This window comes from Homo sapiens, chromosome 17 (genome assembly GCF_000001405.40).
Source record: "Homo sapiens chromosome 17, GRCh38.p14 Primary Assembly".
Lineage (NCBI taxonomy): Eukaryota > Metazoa > Chordata > Mammalia > Primates > Hominidae > Homo > Homo sapiens.
The window spans coordinates 65,253,998-65,274,340 of NC_000017.11; the positions used below are offsets into that span (position 1 = coordinate 65,253,998).

Here is a 20,343-nt window from a genome sequence, read left to right on the forward strand (position 1 = left end):
ACCGCCCAATTTCCATGGGTGCTATGAATCATGTGGCCCATCAGGACTCTCTCTAAGCACCAGCTCTGGGAAGATCAGAGCCAAATCTTCCATAAGTAGTGTGTGTCAGAGCTGTACATGTGTTAAATGTATAGAAAAAAGAATGAAACACATATTTAATGTATAGGAAAGAGAATGGAAAGAAATGTGTTAATGTTTTATCAGCAACATCTTAGGTTTGTTTCCCAAAAGCAGACCCTGAGATGAGAATTCATGTGCAAGGGATTAACTAGATAAGTGGTTCCTGGAAAAATTAGTCAGGGATCGGGGAAGCAGGACAGGCAAGGGGAGAAGCCAAGAAAGGGTGGCATGTCAGTACCATGGAGAGTAGCTTCAGTCTCCTCTCACAGGACAACCCTGGAGTGGGAGGTGCACCTGCCAGGATTTTGTACTCCTTTGAGTATTATCTGCCCAGTTACTTCCACCTCTCTGCACATTTGCACAAAGCAGCTCTGATAACTAGTGGGCAGTCTTCCAGAATCCCAGATGCTGGGGGTTAGAAGCAAAACCACACTGAAGTCTATAGAGGAGCTCCAGAAATGGAAAAAGCGATCCAGGACTCTAAAGAGAGGACCAATGTCCACTACCCAGTGATTATTTCTGAGCAGCAAGATTACATGTGATTATTATACTTTTTGTTACATTTTTGTAATGTTCATATTTTTTCTATACACTTGAAATATGATTTTGTAACTAGAATAAAGACTAAAAAGATAAACCATCCCTTGACCATGTATCTTCCTCTAGGCACAACTCTTTCTTCTGTTCTTATTTGCTAAGCTTCCCTTAAAAGAACATTCAAGATAAATTTAATTTACTGTCTCATTCTAAAAGCAATACATATTTATTGTAGAAAAGAGAAAGTACAGATGAGTAAAAAGTAAAAAATAAAACCCTCGAATCCCACCACACAGAGATAACCACTGTAATCACCTTCAAGTATATAGTTCTAGGTGTGTGCGTCAAATAAAAATGAGATAGTACTATAAATACTTGCTTTTAAAAATATTTAAATAAGGCTGTGCGCGGTCGCTTATGCCTGTAATCCCAGCACTTTGGAAGGCTGAGGCAGGCAGATTACTTGAGGTCAGAAGTTTGAGACCAGTCTAACCAACATGGTGAAACCCCGTCTCTACTAAAAATACAAAAATTAGCTGGGTGTGGTGGCACATGGCTGTCGTCCCAACTACTCGGGAGGCTGAGGCATGAGAATCACTTGAACCCAGGAGGTAAAGGTTGCAGTGAGCCAAGATCGCGCCACTGCACTACAGCCTGGGTGACAAAGAGAGACCATCTCAAAAAAAAAAAAATTAAATTAACTTTTAAATTTTAGAATAGTTTTATATTTACAGAAAAGTTGGAAAGATAGTACAGAGAGTTTCTGTATGCCTCTCACCCAGTTTAATACATGCCTTTTTTTCATTTCATTCATTTATTCATTCATCATTCATTTATTCAATTCATTCATTTCATTTCATTTCATTTAAGTTGTCATGCACACTTTCCCATGCCAATAAATATTCATCTCCACACCATTTTTAATAATGGGTATTCAATTGTAGAGATATAGCATAATCTCATTTTGTTGGATATTTGGAATATTTCTAATTTTGTACTATTAAAATTTTTTAATTTGTAATTTTTAATATTTTTTGTGTGTGAATTAATTCTCCTGAGAAAATTTTTTACTTTTATAGGTGTTTCTCACCAAAAGTTTCTAGGGGTAGAATTGCTTGGTCAAATGCAAAAAAAATCCTTAAGGCCCCTAATACCAGTTGATCATTGCCTTCCAGGAGAACATGCTTTGCAGAATATGAGAGTTTTCATTTCACCCACTTAAATTTTACTATTCTTTTAATCCCATGGATAACATGAGTCATGTGGCCAATCAGGACTTTCTCTAAGCACCAGCTGGTATACCAACTGATATCATTTGGCTGTGTCCCTACCCAAATCTCATCCTGAATTGTAGCTCTAATAATTCCCATGAGTTATGGGAGGGACCTGGTGGGAGATAATTGAATCATGGGGGTGGTTCCCCCATACTGTTCTCATGGTATTGAATGAGTCTCACAAGATCTGTTGGTTTTTTAAGGGGTTTCCCCTTTTGCTTGGCTCTCATTCTTTCTTGCCTGCCACCATGTAAGATGTGCCTTTCACCTTCTGCCATGATGGTGAGGCCTCCCAGCCACGTGTAACTGTGAATTTATGAAATCTCTTTTTCCTTATAAATTACCCAGTCTTGGGTATGTCTTTATCAGCAGCATGAGAACAGACTAATACCAGCACTCTGGGTATTATAATTTAAGAAGTACCATCCCTTTCATCCCACTGCTATGATCTTTGTCTAAATCACGGCCATCTCTGGCAGAGCCCACCTCCTCCTCTCTGGGCTCCCTATCTCTAATCCTTGCTACCTATTCTGCACAATGCCTCCAGTGTGAGTGTTTAATAACACAGACATGAGCATGCAAGCACCCTGCTTAAGATCCTTCTGTGGTCCCACACTGACTTCAGAATGGTGACCAAACTTCCTGGAATGACATCTAAGGTTGTCCCCAAGTGGGTTCCTCCAGGCTTTGCTCTTCCTGTATCCCTCCTACAGGTTTCCTGCTATTTAGGGGACACACAGCTGCTTGCATTCCCTAAACTCATCATGCTGCTTTCTTTTTCCAGAAGTTTCTCATGCTCTTCTTCCATCCTGCCTGCCTGACATATATATTTTTTTTTTCTTTTTTTTTTTTTGAGACAGAATCTCACTCTGTCACTCAGGCTTGAGTATAGTGGTGCGATCTCAGCTCACTGCAACCTCTGCCTCCCAGGTTCAAGAGATTCTCTTGCCTCAGTCTCCCAAGTAGCTGGGATTACAGGTGCATGCCACCATACCCGGATAATTTTTGTATTTTTAGTAGACATGGGGTTTTGCATGTTGACCAGGCTGGTCTTGAACTCCTGACCTCAGATGATCCACCCGCCTTGGCCTCTCAAAGTGCTGGATTATAGGCGTGAACCACTGTGCCTGGCCCTGTGTGACATTATTAAGAAGTGTCTTACCCAGTTTTTTAAGACTCACTTCAAGCATTACCTTCTCTAGGAAGCCTTTACGGACTCTTTTTCCCTCCTTCCCCAGCCTCCTACCTGGCCTAACGGCTTTCCCTTTTGTGCCTAACTCTGGAGGCCAACTTAGTCAAGGTCGAGTCTCATTCTCCAGTTAACTGACATTTTAAAAATGTGCCATAGGTCCCTAAGGTGGTAACTAAGGGGAGGACAGGTATCCAGTTATGTGTCTACTGCAATGATCCCGGCAACAAACTGTTGTGGATGGGATGAGAGAAGAGGGATTGATTCTGGACATATGAAGGAGATGAAATCACAGGGCTTGGGTGCCCAAGGTGAGAGGAGTGAGAGTGAGTGAAAGGAAGGCTGTAGGAAGAGTCCTGGTTCCTGTTGGTGATTGACGATGCATAATGGTTTCCTAGCACCATTGTTTTTTGTCTTCCCATCAGATCACCAACACCCCAAGATCTTAATTTCCCAAAGCACTAAGCACAGTGTTAAATATTCAATAGGTCCTCAGTGATCCCCTGTGGCTCATACACACCGTGGCTTTAAATTCAACTCAGAAGTAGCTCCAGGGCAGTGCAGTGGCTCATGCCTATAATCCTGGCACTTTGAGAGGCTGGGGTGGGCCAACTGCTTAAGCTCAGGAGTTTGAGACCAGCCTGGGCAACATAGTGAAACCCCGTCTCTACAAAAATTACAAAAATTAGCCGAGTGTGGTGGCACACACCTGTAGTCCCAGCTACTTGGGGGGTGAGAGTGGGGATGGGGGCTGAAGTAGGATAATTACTTGAACCTGGGAGGTTGAGGCTGCCACAAGCCATGATTTTGCCACTGCACTCCAGCCTGGGTGACAGAGTGAGACCTTGTCTCAATTTAAAAAAAAGAAAAGAAAAGAAAAGAAGTAGCACCAAACACCATGCTAGGCTCCTCATTGACCTACAGAATTTTATGTTGTGCCAATGTCATTGATTTGTAGGGTACACCTAGTAAGTATTAACATGGAGTTAATATGGAGTTGTTAAAAAGCCTAGAAGTTTATAGAATATTTTAGTGGTGTGGATGGTGCCTCTCCTACTTTTATCTGCCAGGGCATGGGTATTTGAACTTTTCTGACTGCCGTGCATGGTAAGGAATACATTTTACAGGGCAGAGCCCACGCTGTTGGTGCTCCATCTGTATGCCCTGGGTCTACCCCGAAGTCACTGTAGGCAGCTCCTTTGCACTCCTATGGATGACCCAGCCCTCTCAAGGACATTCTCTGGCCATGGGGGCACACTTGGTCCCTATGAGGCGCATCCTAGGAACTAATGCCCAGCTGAGACTCCAACCAACAGAGGACGGGTGTTATGGCTGATGCTCCACTTCCTCATCTTAGGTAGGGACAGCTCTGAGGCACGGTCCACAGGGTCCCTCCAAGAGTCTCCATGAGATTGAGCTCCAGGGTCCCAAAGCAGGAGCCCGGTCATAAACAAGTGCTTCACTGACTTTTCTCTTTCGTTGCCTCCTTTCTTCCATTCCCTCGCAGTACATTCTAGAATGACCTCCCCCACAATAACCCATTTGCCCTCAAACCTTTATCTCAAACAATAGGATGACTACAGTCAATGATAACTTAATTGTTTATTTAAAAATAACTTAAAGAATGTAATTGGAGGTCGGGCATGGTGGCTCACACCTGTAATCCCAGCACTTTGGGAGGCCGAGGCTGGTGGATCACAAGGTCAGGAGTTCAAGACCATCTGGCCAACATGGTGAAACCCTGTCTCTACTAAAAATACAAAAATTAGCTGGGCATGGTGGTGCACACCTGCAATTCCAGCTACTCAGGAGGCTAAGGCAGCAGAATCGCTTGAATAGGGACCCAGGAGGTGGAGGTTGCAGTGAGCTGAGATTGCACCACAGGACTCCAACCTGGGCTACAGAGTGAGACTCCGTCTCAAAAAAGAAAAAAAAAGAATGTAATTGGATTGTTTGTAACTCAACAGATAAATGCTTGAGGGGATGGATACCCCATTCTCCATGATGTGCTTATTTCACATTGCATGCCTGTATCAAAACATCTCATGTACCCCATAAATATACACACCTACTATGTACCCACACAAATTTTAAAAAATAAACTCTTTATCTCAGGGTCTCTTTGTGGGTAAAGGGGCAGTGAAGACATTTGGTGATCCAATGTACTCATATCTGTTTTTTGTTTGTTTGTTTGTTTTCTTTTTGGAGATGAGGTCTCTCTGTGCTGCCCAGGCTGGTCTCAACTCCTGACCTCAAGCAATCCTCCCCCATCTCCCTCCAGAGTAGCTGGGATTACAAACGTGAGCCACTGTGCCTGGCTGCATACTCGTAAGTGAAACAAAAGTTTCGAGAATGCTTATCCTAATATATCAAATGCGCTGATCTTTTCCCTTCCCTTCCCTTCCCTTCCCTTCCCTTCCCTTCCCTTCCCTTCCCTTCCCTTCCCTTCCCTTCCTTTCCCTTTTCTGCTGTACGAGACCTACTGAACTAATTTGATGACCCCCTCATGAGTCTCAGCCTGTAGTTTGGAGATCACCATTCCAGAGGGTGGGTGTATTAAGGAGAACTGGGTCTTGATCATAAGCCTAATTTAATAGTCAAACTGCTCCTTGGGAGGCACTGCGAGCCCTGAGGTCAGCTGGGAGGGTTTCTAGTGGCTCATGGATGCCTCCATTTCATTGCATTTCAAACTGATGCTTCTTGTCAAGGGGCTACTTTATTGGCTTTGCTGACCATTTTGGCACAAAGCCCAGTAGAAACAATGTCCCCCTTTTCTCTGAATAGTTCTTCGGGTCACCTCAGAGAAGACCAGGGCTCGGAATTGAGGGTGGAGAGAGCAATTAGGAAGGAGGAGGAGAAGTGGATGTGGATTTTCAAAGGTCAGGCAGAGTACAATTAGTGAACTCTTAGACTTATTCCAAGTGCCTTTCCTGGCTGGAAAAACAACAATAAAAGAAAGAAAGAAAAAAAAAAATCCAAACCCACAAGTGGGGTAAAAGTTGAAGAACACTTTAATTCATAAGGAAAAGGGCTTGAATAATTGATGCTGCCGCCATGCCAAAGATAATTTCAGCGCTCTCTCTATCTCACAAAGACATTTAGCATTGATTGAGATCAAAGTATCAGGGATCCCTGCTGCTAGGCTGAAAGGCAAAACTCACAGCGGCCTTTCTCTGCTCTGATAATGTCGTCTTTATGTAGTTAATAAACTGCACACACCAGTCAAACTATATCATTACAGAAGACTTAGGGAGCTAATAATTTAAAAGCAAAGAATTGCCTCTGTTCTTCACTTTGAACTAAACAACATTCTGTTGAAGGAGGAGGACATCAAAGTCTTGTCACTATTACCAGTGTGGATTGAGCAGAAGGCCGCACAGAGAGGGCACTTCAGTCATCAAGGAAAAAAAAAAGAGAAAGAAAGAGAAAGATTAAAGATATTGGCTTATCAACCCAAAGGCAGTACCAGGTGTTTTATTATTATTTTTTTCAACAATGTAATAAGCATCAGGTGGCTAGCTCATCAGTGAGTGTCCTTGTTAAGTGGATGTACATGAACCAGGTCACAGACTGTTCCCTTTCCACCTTGGCCCCATTCTGAACTTTGTCCTTAACTACCTTTATGTTCACTTTCAGCTTGACCACCCCTCTTGCCACCCCACCCCTGGCCTCCCTTAGCCTCCAGGGGTTCTGTTTTGGTGCCTTCCACGACCTCTCTTTGTGAAGAGCAGTAGAGCTCCACATCTCCCACCCCTCAGCATTGGCTTGTCTGTATTTTGCCTCTGAGACTCCACTGGCTTGCTGGAAGAGGTGGAGATGCAACCATTTGAACAGGGGTTTTCTGAGATCGAAACTCCATTCCACCAGTTTTAAAGAGTGACACTGCATAAAGCACATAAGGCTTCTTCCTGACCATCCTCACACACTGCTCTTGGAAGCATTCTTAGAATGGATTCGCTAGAAGCAGGGATTCTCATACAAGTGATTTATGGAGGGAGGCTCTTGGAAGAAAATCCTTTAAGGAAGCGATGGAAACAGGGTAGGGAAGAGGAAGAAGAGAAGATGTGGCTCAGCTGAAGTCTCATCTTAGCCTGTTCCCAGGGGGAGCTGGAAAGTATGAAAGGCAACACAAGGTGGTCCCCACTTCTGGCCTTTGTACCCTGTATCAGTCACCTGTTAGCTGCAGCTGCCTCAGGGTAGTAGGCTGACATTCCAGACACTTCCTGCCTCAGTGGCTCCTGCAACAGGCCAAGGGCAGTTCTCCGGGTAGCAGCCAGGTGGCTTTTGCATCAACACTGACAGCAGCTGGGAGACGGAGGCATCATCCTGTCATAGGGGCTTTGGGCAGGTCACTATGGAGGGTCAATCCAGTGATTTACCAGAAGACTGTAGAAAATGTTCTTGTCGTTTAATCTAGCCGCTTTGTGTTTAGGTCTTTATCCTGAGGATTATATCACGAATTTGTGAGAAGTTTTGTTGTTGTCATCATCAACATAACCACCGTCATCATCCTCTGTTGAGCGTGTATTTGCAGAGCACTTTACAGATACTGTCTCATTTAATCCTTTCAACCATTCTGTGAGGTTTAGAGAGAGAATTACTCTTGCCTTCGAATGCAGGGCTTGACAGTGGCATGTTCAGGGGATATTCATTGCAATATAATTTACAGTAATAAAGATTTGGAAAGAATCCATTTCTCCAACACTGGGTGCAGAGAGGTAAATTACTTACCTCTGTAGAATGGCATAATGCGTAGACCATAAAAATGCTATAATAATACAGAGGTGAGTCCACAATACACTGCTAAGTGGAAAAATTAGGCCACAAAGCTGCATTATACCGGTGCGTGCGTGTGTGTGTGTATGTGTGTGTATGTGTGTGTGTGTGTGTGTGTGTGTGTGTAGACAATATGTTTTAAATATTAAGGGATATTTTTGTGTCCACATTTCCTTTTACCCTTTGTGGAACCTCCTCCCTACCCCCATCCTCTGTATTAAAGTTCAGCTCTTTGGTGCTGTTTGCCTCAGGGAAGGGAAATAAAATAGTAGGCAGTGGAAAAGTTGGAGGAGTAAGAAGAGGGGGAGGAGCTGGAAGCAAGGCGAGACGACCTGGTCCTGGGATCTAGCATCCATCCATGGACCACATCCCCTTGCCCCCCATTTTCTCCCAATCCTATTCCAAGAGGGGAGATTGAACTGGAGATTTTGAATTTCTGCCTGCAGGAATCAAGAATCACAACAGAAATCAAGCTGAGCTAGAGGAAATAAAGATCTATTTCTTGCCTACATAAAGCTTTGGATGGGGATTTACACCCACTGCTTGTGAACAGGAAAAGAGTAAAAGGAAATACCACAAAATGATGATTCAGTGGTTATCACTGAGTGATTTGTATTTCCTTCTTGGTGCTTTCCTGTGTGTTTCGTGTTTTTTTTTTTTCAGTAAAACATTAATTTTGAAGTCAGAAAAAAGTTTTTTCAAAAAATTTAGAGAGTACTTTATTAGTTTCTGTGATCAAACTCATGTAGATAAGACTTTACATATTTAATACAGTGTGTTACCCTTGTACAAATGGAAAAAAAATAAGTTTAACTTTTCTAGAGCAATATGGTTGTTAATTTCTGTACAATGCCACCTCAACATGGTAAACTGGAATATTTTTCCAAAGTGGATAGCACAGCTAAAGTTTCCAAAAATTCAAATTATATGTAGACCAATAATAGCAGTATGTTATGCATTAATAGCAGCAACAGCTTAGGAAAAAGTTATATTTAAAATCTTTCTCTTAAAGGGAATACTCATACACAGTTGGGAATGTAAATGCATTCAGCTACTGTGGAAAACAGTTTGGAGATTTCTCAGAGAACTTAAAACAGAACTACCATTCAACTCAGCAATCCCATTACTGGATATATACCCAAAGGAAAATAAATCGTTTTACCAGAAAGACACGCACACTCATATGTTCATCACAGCACTATTCATCACAGCAAAGACATGGAGTCAACCCAGATGCCCATCAGCAGTGGATTGGGTAAAGAAAATGTGGTACATACACACCACAGAATACTATGTAGCCATAAAAAAGAATGAAATCATGTCCTTTGCAGCAACATGGATGCAGCTGGAGGCCATTATCCTAAGTGAATTAACACGGGAACAGAAAACCAAATACCACATGTTCTCACTTGTAAGTGGGAGTTAAGCATTGGGTACATATGGACATAAAATAGGAACAATAGACACTGGGAACCACTAGATGGGGGAGAGAGGGAGGGAAAAAAGAGCTGAAAAACTACCTATTGTGGACTATGCTCACTAACCTCTGCATCACACAATATAACCATGTAACAAATTAGCACATGCTCTGAATCTAAAACAAAGGTTGAAATTATTAAAAAAAAATCTTTCTCCTCCTTCTCCTCCAACAACAAGAAGAAGAACAACAACAATACCAGCTTATATTTATTAAGGAAGCTTAATATGTCAAGCATGGGGCTGGCCACTTCATATTACCCCATTCATTCCTCCCAACTCCCCTATGGGGTAGGTACTATCATTCTTGCATTTTACAGATAGGAAATTTGAGGCTCGGAGAAGTCAAGCAGCTTACCCAAAGTGGCAGAAATGTGGTAATAGTCCAGGTCTATCTGAATTCAAATCCTATGCCCTTTCCAGCTCTCTCTATTGTCCATCTGGGGAACTTTTTCTGCTATACGCAAAATTAGCCAAGGCATCTGGGGATGGGGTTAGAGACTGCAAGAGAGCCCAGGTGCTGAGCAGTGCTAGCCTTGCCGATAAACAGAAGAGCCCATAAAAAGGGCCAGCATGGGGCCTGGGACACAACTCTCTGTATAGTGAAAAAGAAACATTTGCCATGATGAATTATGTTGATGCAATAATGAAAGGATAATTTTTGGAAGAACTGAACTGTTATTAAGAGACAAAGGCACATGAATCACATCAACATTGATCTACTTAGTATTACTTCTGAACTAGGCAGTATTTTTTTTTTGTTTTTGAGACATGGTCTCACTCTGTCACCCAGGCTAGAGTGCAACGATGTGATCACAGCTCACTGCAGCCTCAACCTCTGGTGCTCAAGCGATCATCCCACCTCAACCTCCCGAGTAGTTGCGACTACAGGTGTGTGCCACCACACTGGGATCGTTTCTTGATTTTTTGCAGGGAAAGGATCTCACTTTGTTGCCCAGGCTGGTTTTGAACTCATGAGCACAAGTGATCCTCCTGCCTCGGCCTCCCAAAGTGCTGGGATTATAGGCCTGAGCCATCATGTCTGGCAGTAGTATTTTTTCAAGGTACATTTCCATTGAAGTTTGACAGAGAAGAGCACACAGAAAACCAGGATACAGCGTAATGAATTTTCACAAAGTGAACACACTCATGTAACCAGCTCCCAATCAAGAAACCGGCATTCCAAGAAACCCAGAAGTTCTCTCATGCCCTGGGCCAGTTACTTTCCCCTCAATAAAGGTAAAAACTATGGTATGTTAATGAGATTTATCCCTGATGTTTATGTGAAGTTTGTTCATGCCCATTGACATATAGCTTTTCACATATTTATCCTGTGTGAGTATATACAGTAGAATTTGCCCATTCTTCAACCCATTCATTATTTACCTATTCATCATTTACCCAGTCATCAACAATCAATGCTGATTGGCATTCATTGTTTCTTTTTTATTTTTTTGTGTTGTTTGGTAAACTTACATATGCATTTCTTTTGGGCATATACCTAAGGGCAGAATCGCTCTGTCACAGGGTATATGTATGTTTTACTTTGGTAGATGCCAAAAAAAAGATTTCCAAAATAATTGTATCAAGTTACATCCAGCTACAAGTGTGTAAGAATTTCCAGTTTCTTTACACTTTTGCCAACACTTGGTTTTCTATTTTGGTGGGTGTACTATGGCATGTCATTGCCTTCGTAAAGTTAAGTACTTGAATACTTTTTCATGGGTTTATTTGCCAATTGGATATTCATTTTCTGAAGTCCTGTTCACATCTTCTGTATAGAGTAATTAAAGAATAATTACTATAGTCCTTTGTAAATGGTAGAATTCTGCTCCTTACTGTTGGTCTTGTTGGACATTGTGGTTCGTGTGATGTAGTTTTTGATGTTTTCTTGCTCAAAAGTACATGTACCCATTAGACTTTTCACTGATGCATAAAATGTCTATGTCACAGTTTCTATTGATTAAGACATTAGCTGCCTACCCAAAAAAGTGTAGATGTTAGAGAGAGAACAGAGTGTAGTGTATGATAGGTTCTTTTAAGTTGTGTGGAACAAGGGCATATTATGATATGGGTATACAGGAAACCCAGAGAGACAGGAAATGTCTCAGTAGCCTCATAGTCAAGCTCCACAAAGAACTGGAACATCTCATAACATGAGTACTGGTATTTTAACAGCAACTTCAGTCACCTAACAGAGTGACCTGGCCATATGCTTGCCTTCTGAGAAGAAGGTGTCATTTATCAGCTGCATGGCCAGTGGACTCCTGCTGTTATTGACAAAGGAGTACTAGATTTTCTTTCTTCCCACTTCCCAGATTCTGCCACATTAAGGCTTCCATAGTCTCAGAGTTTCTATAGCATCTGCATAATATCTTCTCTCCATGTGTCTTTCCATGGCTTCTCCTACTCCACTAATATCTCTCTTTCTCTGCAGGCCTCACTTTTGAGTGAAGAATCTGATTGGACAGCCATTGTAGGACACTTTATGAACAGAGCTCTTGCACCAAACCACTTAGAGGGCCACTGGCCAGCCAAGATGGTTGCTTCATGTCAGCCAGCTGTGTCAGCTTCACATGTGCTATGGATTGCATGTCTGTCCTCTCCAAACCTCATGTTGAAATTTGATCCCCAGTGTTAAAGGTAGGGCTGAGTAGGAGGTGTTTGGGTCATGGGTGCAGATCCCTCATACATAGATTAATGCCCTCCCTGGGGGAGGGGGAGTGAGTCCTTGCTCTTTTAGTTCCCATGAGAGCTGGTTGTTAAAAAGCTGACAACTCTCCCCTCTCTCTTGCTTCCTCTCTCACCATATGATCTGTTCATACACCAGGTCCCATTTGCCTTTTGTCATTAGTAGAAGTAGCCTGAGGCATTCACTAGAGGCAGATGCCCACTTTTGAACTTTACAGCCATCAGAATCACAAGCCAAATAAACAGCTTTTCTTTATGAATTACTCGGTTTCAGGTACTCCTTTATAGCACACAAAATGGACTAATATTTTGTTCATTTCATTTTAGAGAGGAGAATATTGAATGCCAGAACATTTCAGTGGCTTCTGTAATTTATATTCTATAAATGGTAGAGCTGGGATTTGAACTCATCCCTATTTTATTCATTTATTCATTCATGCCATAAATTATTTTATTTATTTTTAGTTGACAAATAAAACTATACATATTTTTGGTGTATAAAATTATATTTTGAAACACGTATACATTGTGGAATGGCTGAATTGAGTTAATTAACATATTATTTCACGCATTTTTTCTATAGTGAGAACACCTAAAACCTACAATATATTTTTATTAACTATCATCACCATGTTATACAATAGATCTCCTGAAATTATTCCTCCTATCCAACTGAAATTTTGTACCCTTTGACCAATATCTCCCAAATTCCCCTTAATCCCCAGCCCCTGTAAATTACAATTCTTTTCTTTGTTTCTATGAATTTGATTTTTCAGATTCCATATACAAGTGAGATCATGCACTATTTGTCTTTCTGTGCCTGACTTATTTCACTAAGCATAATGTCCTCCAGGTTCTTTCATGTTGTTACAAATGGCAGAATTCCCTTCTTTTTAAAGGCTGAATAGTATCTCATTGTGAAAATGGACATTTTCTTTGTCCATTCATCCATTGATGAACACTTACGTTGATTCCATATCTTGGCTATTGTGACTAATGCTGCAGTGAATATGGGAGAGCAGACATATTTTTGACACACTGATCTGATTTCCTTTGTAGGTATACCCAGTAGGGGGATTGCTGGATCATATAGTAGTTCTATTCTTAATTTCTTTTGGGACTTCCATACTGTTTTCCATAATGACTGAGCTAACTTACATTGCTTCCCTTTTCTCCACATTTTCACCAACACTTGTTATCTTTTGTCTTTTTGATAATAGCCATTTTAACAAATATGAGGCAGTATCTCATTGTATTTCTCTGATTATTAGTGATGTTGAGCATTTTTCAAATACCTGTTGGCCATTTGGATGTCTTCTTTTGATAAATATTTATTCAGGCCCTCTATATTTTTTAGTTGGGTTATTTATTTTCTTGTTATTGAGTCGTTTGCATTCCTTATAGATTTTGAATATTAACCCCTTATCAGATGTATAGTTTGCAATTTTCTCCCATTCTGCAGGTTGTCTCTACACTCTATTGATTGTTTCCTTGGCCGTGCAGAAATTTTTTAGTCTGATGTAACCCCATTTGTCTATTTTTGCATTTGTTGCCAGTGCTTTGGGGTCACATCAAAAAAATCATCGTCTAGACCCATGTTATGAACCTTTCCCTTGTGCTTTCTTTTAGTCATTTTACTATTTGAAGTCTTTTGTTTAAGTCTTTAATTCATTTTGAGTTGATTTTTGTATATGGTATGAGATAAAAGTCTAACTTTCTTCTTCTGCATGTAGATATCTAGTTTCCCAGTGACATTTATTGAAGACATTGTCCTTTCGCTGTTGTGTGTTCTTGACACCTTTGTCAAAAATCAAATGACAACATATGTATGGATTTATTTCTGGGCTCTCTATTCTGTTCTATTGGTCTATGTGTCTCTTTTCATGCCAGTATCATGCTGTTTTGATTACTGTAGCTTTATAGTAGATTTCAAAATCATATAGTATGGTGCCTCCAGTTTTTTTAAATTTTGTTTTGTTTTGGAGTTTTTTGCCCAAGATTACTTTGGCTACTTGAGCTCTTTTGTGATTCCATATGGAGTTTAGGATTTTTTTTCTATTTCTGAGAAAAATATCATTAGAATTTTGATAGAGATTGCACTGAATCTGTAGATCACTTTGGGTAGTATGCACATTTTACCAATTTTAAGTCTCCCAGTTCATTGGCACAGACTATTTTCCATTTATTTGTGTCTTCTTCAGTTTATTTCATCGATGTATATAGTTTTCAGTGAACAGATCTTTCATGTCCTTGGTTTAATTTACTTTTAAGTAGTTATGGCTTTTATGAAGGTAAATGTGTCCTAAGGAGATGTGGAGAAAAACATAGTTGTAGCCTGTGGCAGAATATGCAGGTCAGGGTGGTGGTCAGGTAGAATCTTTACGTTCTTTATGTCTCTCCTTGTGGAAATACAGCCCTCCCTTTCCATTCAGCCACCACCACAAATCTGGCCTGACCAATCAGAGTATTTATTCTAATTTTCTAGTCACTGTGATTGGTTCGGGAATAGGCACCTGATCCAAGCCAGGCCTGTAAGAGTTAGCCTTGGGACTTTAGCTAGAACTACTGGGAAAGACTCTTACTTTTTTCACGATGATCATTGCCTGTAAAGACAAGTAAACTTGGAGCTACTTGGTGTGCAGTATCTTTTAAGGCTCCATGTTTAAGAACCTTGGAGAATGAAGCCAAACTAAGGAAAGCAAAACTGAAAAATGAAGAGAGAGTAAGATTTTTGACCGCATTGTTTATGGACCTGATTTCAGCTACATATAGTGGCAAATTTACCTTTGGATTTTTGATGTATACGTACCAACACATCTCCTATGGGGCTGAAGTCAGATTGAGTTAGTTTCTTGCCCTTGCAATTAAAAAATGTTCTGATTCATGTAGTCAACTTCCTACATAAATATTAACATGGAGAAATTGAATCAGAAGTTTGCAATGTTCTCCTTGGAAAAAGATTTCAAGGTTCCAAGGATATGAAATCATCATGTAAAATAGCTGTTCCTCCTTCAGAAGAGATGAATCTGAAGCAAGGCTGGGCCTGAAAGAAATGACCTATAGCTAAGTGAGACTTGTGTGGGTCAGGAAAGAAGGGACACATTTTTGCTTCTGCTGTGACACTCGCTTCTGGTCATTTTTATTATGATAGTGTCTAAGTCCATTCATTCTGCTGTGACAGAACACCATAAAGTAGGTAGCTTATAAACAACAATTTATTTCTCACAATCCTGGAGCCTGGGAAGTTCAAGATCAAGGCACTGACGGAATTGGTGTCTGGGGATGGTCTACTTTCTGGTTCATAGATAGCACCTTCTAGCTGTGTTCTCACGTGTTGGAAGGGGGAAGGCAGCTTTCTAGGGCCTATATATATAGAATTAGTGCCTATATATATGAATAGTGAATAGAATTAGTGTCTACATATGTATACATATAGACACTAATTCTATTCACTAATATATAGACACTAATTCTATTCACAACAGCTCTTCCCTTATGAGCTAATAACCCCTAAGGCTCCACTTACTAATACACATTGGTGATTAGGTTTCAACATATGAATTCTGGGGGAGACATAAACATTTAGATTATAGCAGATATAGAATTCTGGGCAGGGTAGAAAACATTTGTTAGTCCGGTAGAGTTTCCATCCATCCATCTATCCAACCATCCATCTGTCTGTCTCTATCTTTGCCCACTAATTAAACAAATATCTGTTGAGTTTAAATAAGCGCCAGATACAGGACTTCTGAGAGAGAAGATTTGAAGCACTAGGTCAAGGTCAAACTAGCAAGACACTTCCTCTCCTGGAGGCCAGGGTTCAGCCAGATGTCCTCTTTTTCATCTGCAAAATAAGAAGATCTAACCTAGATACTTGCTCATGTCTCTCCCAGTGCTATTACTTGATGATTCAAACAATTTTCAAGGCCTGGCATGGTGGCTCACACCTGTAATCCCAGCACTTTAGGAGGTCAAGGTGGGCGGATCACGAGGTCAAGAGATGGAGACCATCCTGGCCAACACGGTGAAACCCCCTCTCTACTAAAAATACAAAAATTAGCTGGGTGTGGTGGCACGTGCCTGTAGTCCCAGCTACTCGGGAGGCTGAGGCAAGAGAATCGCTGGAACACAGAGGTGGACACTGCAGTGAGCCGAGATCACACCACTGCACTCCAGCCTGGCAACAGAGCAAGACTCTGTCTCAAAATAAAACAAAAAGCAATTTTCAAAAGGGCTGATACCTTAGAGTGTTATCTGGTTCAATTTTCTCATGTCTGGGATGAGAAAATCTAAACCTGGGGAGCTTGAGGGATTTGATCTGAAGTCCACTTCACTCTCCTGGTGATGATGACTCAGTGATGCTGTGATGACTGGTGGACAAGGACAGAAGAGGCTGTAGGCAGAACGCATAGATTCCAGGACAGCAGGTTCAGCAAAGACCAGCGGTAGCTGGTATGGTGGCTACCTCAAAGGGCTGGCTCAACCCAGGCACGGAAAGTGGAAAAGATTGGGGTATAGGGACAGAAAAGCTGCCCCGTGGTTTTCTTTCTTTCTTTCTTTTCTCAACGATTGAAACCCAGCACATAACTGTGTGGGCATTGAGAGAAAACAGGCCCAGCTGCCTAGCAGTGGCCCCAGGAGCCTGTGAAACGTCTGCTCCCACCAGGCTCACGGAGGGCGCCAGGATGCTCTGCCCAATGGCTGTTTCCTTGACTTCTCTCTTCCAAAAAGGAAATTGCAGGCATGTTACTGCTTTGCTCAGGACCGGGGATTATGGAGCTTAAACTCTCTCCTCCAAGCCATGTTCAAGTTTTTGACTTAAAAGGGAAATGTTTCATTTTAGGCCAAATGCATCCCCCTCTTTCCCCCTTCCTGGAACGAGAACAAAGCAATTCAAATCAGAAAACAGGGGGAACTCCATGCGCCCTGTCCACGGGGACCCGGCTCCCAACTGGATCCCACGGAATTTGATTGAAGTGCAACTGAACCCCTCCGCGTTTGTTCAAATGTCATTTAAATAGAAACGTTTCAAATCTCTGCCAAGGAACTGCCCAGGGGGTGGCATGGAACGGAGTCAGGCCCTCACTGCTCTGCGGGCTGCGGCGGGCCCAGACCACAGGGGCGGGACCCAGGCGAGGCTGACTGAAACCCAGCACGAGGGAAAAACAAAGTGGTGGGAAAAGAGGGGAGAGGGGAAAGAGGAGGGACAGAAAGGGGACAGAGGTGGACTCTCTGGGCAGTTTTTACACTAAAGATACAAGATATAAATGAGACACAAGATGTCTGCATTTTGGCATGTTTTCTAAAAAAAAAAACTTTAATATGTTTAAGATAGAGACAAACTCTCAAAGCCTGAAAGGATTCATGATCAGGATTGCAGTGAGCCTTCAAGATTTTGGCTGTCACCCTCTTTGGTCTCATGACGATTCAAACGTGCATGCATCATCGCAACAGTTTTTAGCTTCCCAGTTTGGAAAGAGGACAACAATGTTTGACCTGCCTGGCCTTTGTCAGGGCTGCTGGGTAAGATTTGCCTTGAGGTTTGGGGCTGAGGGTGTGGGTCTTAGTTTCCTTACCCCACTCGATAAAGGCAGCCATAAGGTCAAGGGTTTGAGATACTGTTGGTACCCAGGACTGGAAATCGGCAAGCATTGCCGTGGTGTACTCTGGGGGTGCCCAAGAGGAGGAGGCTGGACTTTCATCCTCCACTCAGCTGTAATGACTACTCTTTGATTTGTTTTACGTTTTGAGTTCTGGGTAAAATTTTGTGGCAAAAAGAAATCTGCCACTAGCAGCATTGTTTAGAAGCACTTAAGTAGACATTTCAAAAGATCCATGGTTCTGACATTCTACGAGATCAAAATTGGGGAGAGATTGTAGTGAGGGTCGTTCCTCCATCCCTGAGGACCCATTACCATGGGATAGAGTTAATTTGCTACATTAAGACCTCCTTCCTGGCCGGGCGTGGTGGCTCATGCCTGTAATCCCAGCACTTTAAGAGGCCTTGGCGGGCAAATCACCTGAGGTGAGGAGTTCAAGACCAGCCTGACCAACATGGAGAAACCCCATCTCTACTAAAAATACAAAAATAGCTGGGCATGGTGGCACATGCCAGTAATACCAGCTACTCGGGAGGCTGAGGCAGGAGAATTGCTTGAACCCAAGAGGCAGAGGTTGTGGTGAGCCAAGATCACACTATTGCACTCCAGCCTGGGCAACAAGGGCAACAAGAGCGAAACTCTGTCTCAAAAAAAAAAAAAAAAAAAAAAAAAAGGTCTTCCTTCCTGGCCGGGCCCAGTGGCTCAGGCCTGAAATCCAGCACTTTGGGAGGCCAAGGTGAATGGATCACCTGAGGTCAGGAGTTCGAGACCAGCCTGGTCAACATGGTGAAACTCCGTCTCTACTAAAAATATAAAAATTAGCCAGGCATGGTGGTGCATGCCTGTAATCCCAGCTACTCGGGAGGCTGAGGCGGGAAAATTGCTTGAATCCAGGAGGCAGAGGTTGCAGTGAGCTGAGATTGTGCCATTGCATTCCAGCCTGGCTGCTGGGAAAACCATGTCGTCAGGACACTAGAACTTGAGAAGGATTCACATGGGCCTGGATCTAGCAGACTGGTGAGTGACTTAGGACTTATGAAACCCCAAGAAAACTCAGTATTGGTGACGCTATAATATGAGCCCCCTCTGAATTGAAATAACCTGAAGATGTACAAGAAGTGCAGCTCAAGAGTTGCTGATGGTGAAATCTCCCCTCCCTCATAGACATTTACTCTTTTATCTTAGAGAGCCTCATAAAGCAGCAGGATATAGTCAAGCAAGGTGCATCCCCTTTCATCACTATGTTCAGCCAAGAAGTAGCTCTGAGACTGAAACTGCCTTTGCAAAATTATAACTAGTAACTGAGACAGTGAAAGAGATTTAACCTAACTGACTCCATCTTGCTTCTAACCTTTAAGCTGTCCTTGCTCCTTCCTGGGTGTAGGTTGAACTAACTTCGGGAGGAACTTAATTTACACTTATAGTTTTAAAAAAATAAAAAATAAAAAAATAAACCTCCTTCTTGCCTGGGGACTCAACTGCCTTTGCAGGACTAACAAATTTAGCTACAAGGTTAGAAATTATGGTTTAGGAGTCATGCAGCTGGAGGCTACAAGATCTGGACTCTCCCTAAACTGCTCCTAAGATCAGTGCCTGAGACATTTTGCAGACCTTGCACTTGATGGATCAGGTGGCACCACCCAGATGGATAAACTGGCTCATCTGCTCTTGTGGCCCCCACCCAGGAATGGACTCAGCGCAACAGGACAGCTTCAATTCTCGGTGATTTTTATCTCCTACCTAACCAATCAGCACTCCTCGCTCACTGGCTTCCCCCCACACACCAGGTTGTCCTTAAAACCCTGATCCCCTCATCAGGAGATGCTTGGGAAGACTGATTTGAGTAATAATAAAACTCTGGTTTCCCACACAGCCGGCTATGTGTGAATTACTCTTTCTCTGTTGCAATTGCCCTGTCTTGATAAATCGGCTCTGTCTAGGCAGCGGGCAAAGTGAACCCATGGTACAGTTACAAGACACCCCTTTCAAGAGGAACACCAAGGGAAGGTGATGGCTCATGCACGAGCAAAGACCCGAGATGCGACGGAGCCCTTCATTCACTAAAACTTGGCTACTTACTGAAACCATAGACCTTCAGAACTAAAAGGGACCTAAGAATCATCTCCTTTTACAGATGAGAAAACTGAGGCCCACATCTATGAATATTCATACATAATTAATTACTTCATTATTTAGTGATCTAATTTGGCATACTTGTACCTTCATAACCTTCATCAATTTTCAGTGACTTTGGTTAAAAATCACAAAAGAGGTTGGGCGCGGTGGCTCATGCCTGTAATCCTAGCACTTTGGGAGGCCGAGGCAGGTGGATCACTTGAGGTCAGGAGTTCGAGACCAGCCTGGCCAACATGGAGAAACACTGTCTCTCCTAAAAAGACAAAAAATAGCCAGGCGTGGTGGTGGGCACCTGTAATCCCAACAACTCAGGAGGCTGAGACAGGAGAATTGCTTGAACCTGGGAGGCGGAGGTTGCAGTGAGCCGAGATCGTGCCACTGCACTCCGGCCTGGGCGACAGAGCAAGACTCCATCTCAAAAAAAAAAAAAAATCACAAAAGCCATGCCATTTAATTTCAAGATGGTATGCTTAACCCCTAATCAAACTTACTGTGCATCTTGACACTCTTAGTCATAGATTAAATTTGATGCAAATCAGCTCAT

General features: G+C 42.2%; 1 annotated feature.

Moving 5' to 3' along the window:
• Positions 281-481: a silencer, noted in NCBI's record as "peak2941 fragment used in MPRA reporter construct". NCBI's record gives its function as "represses an SCP1 promoter by STARR-seq MPRAs in K562 erythroleukemia cells {active_cell/tissue: K562}" and the evidence as "EXISTENCE:reporter gene assay evidence [ECO:0000049][PMID:32103011]".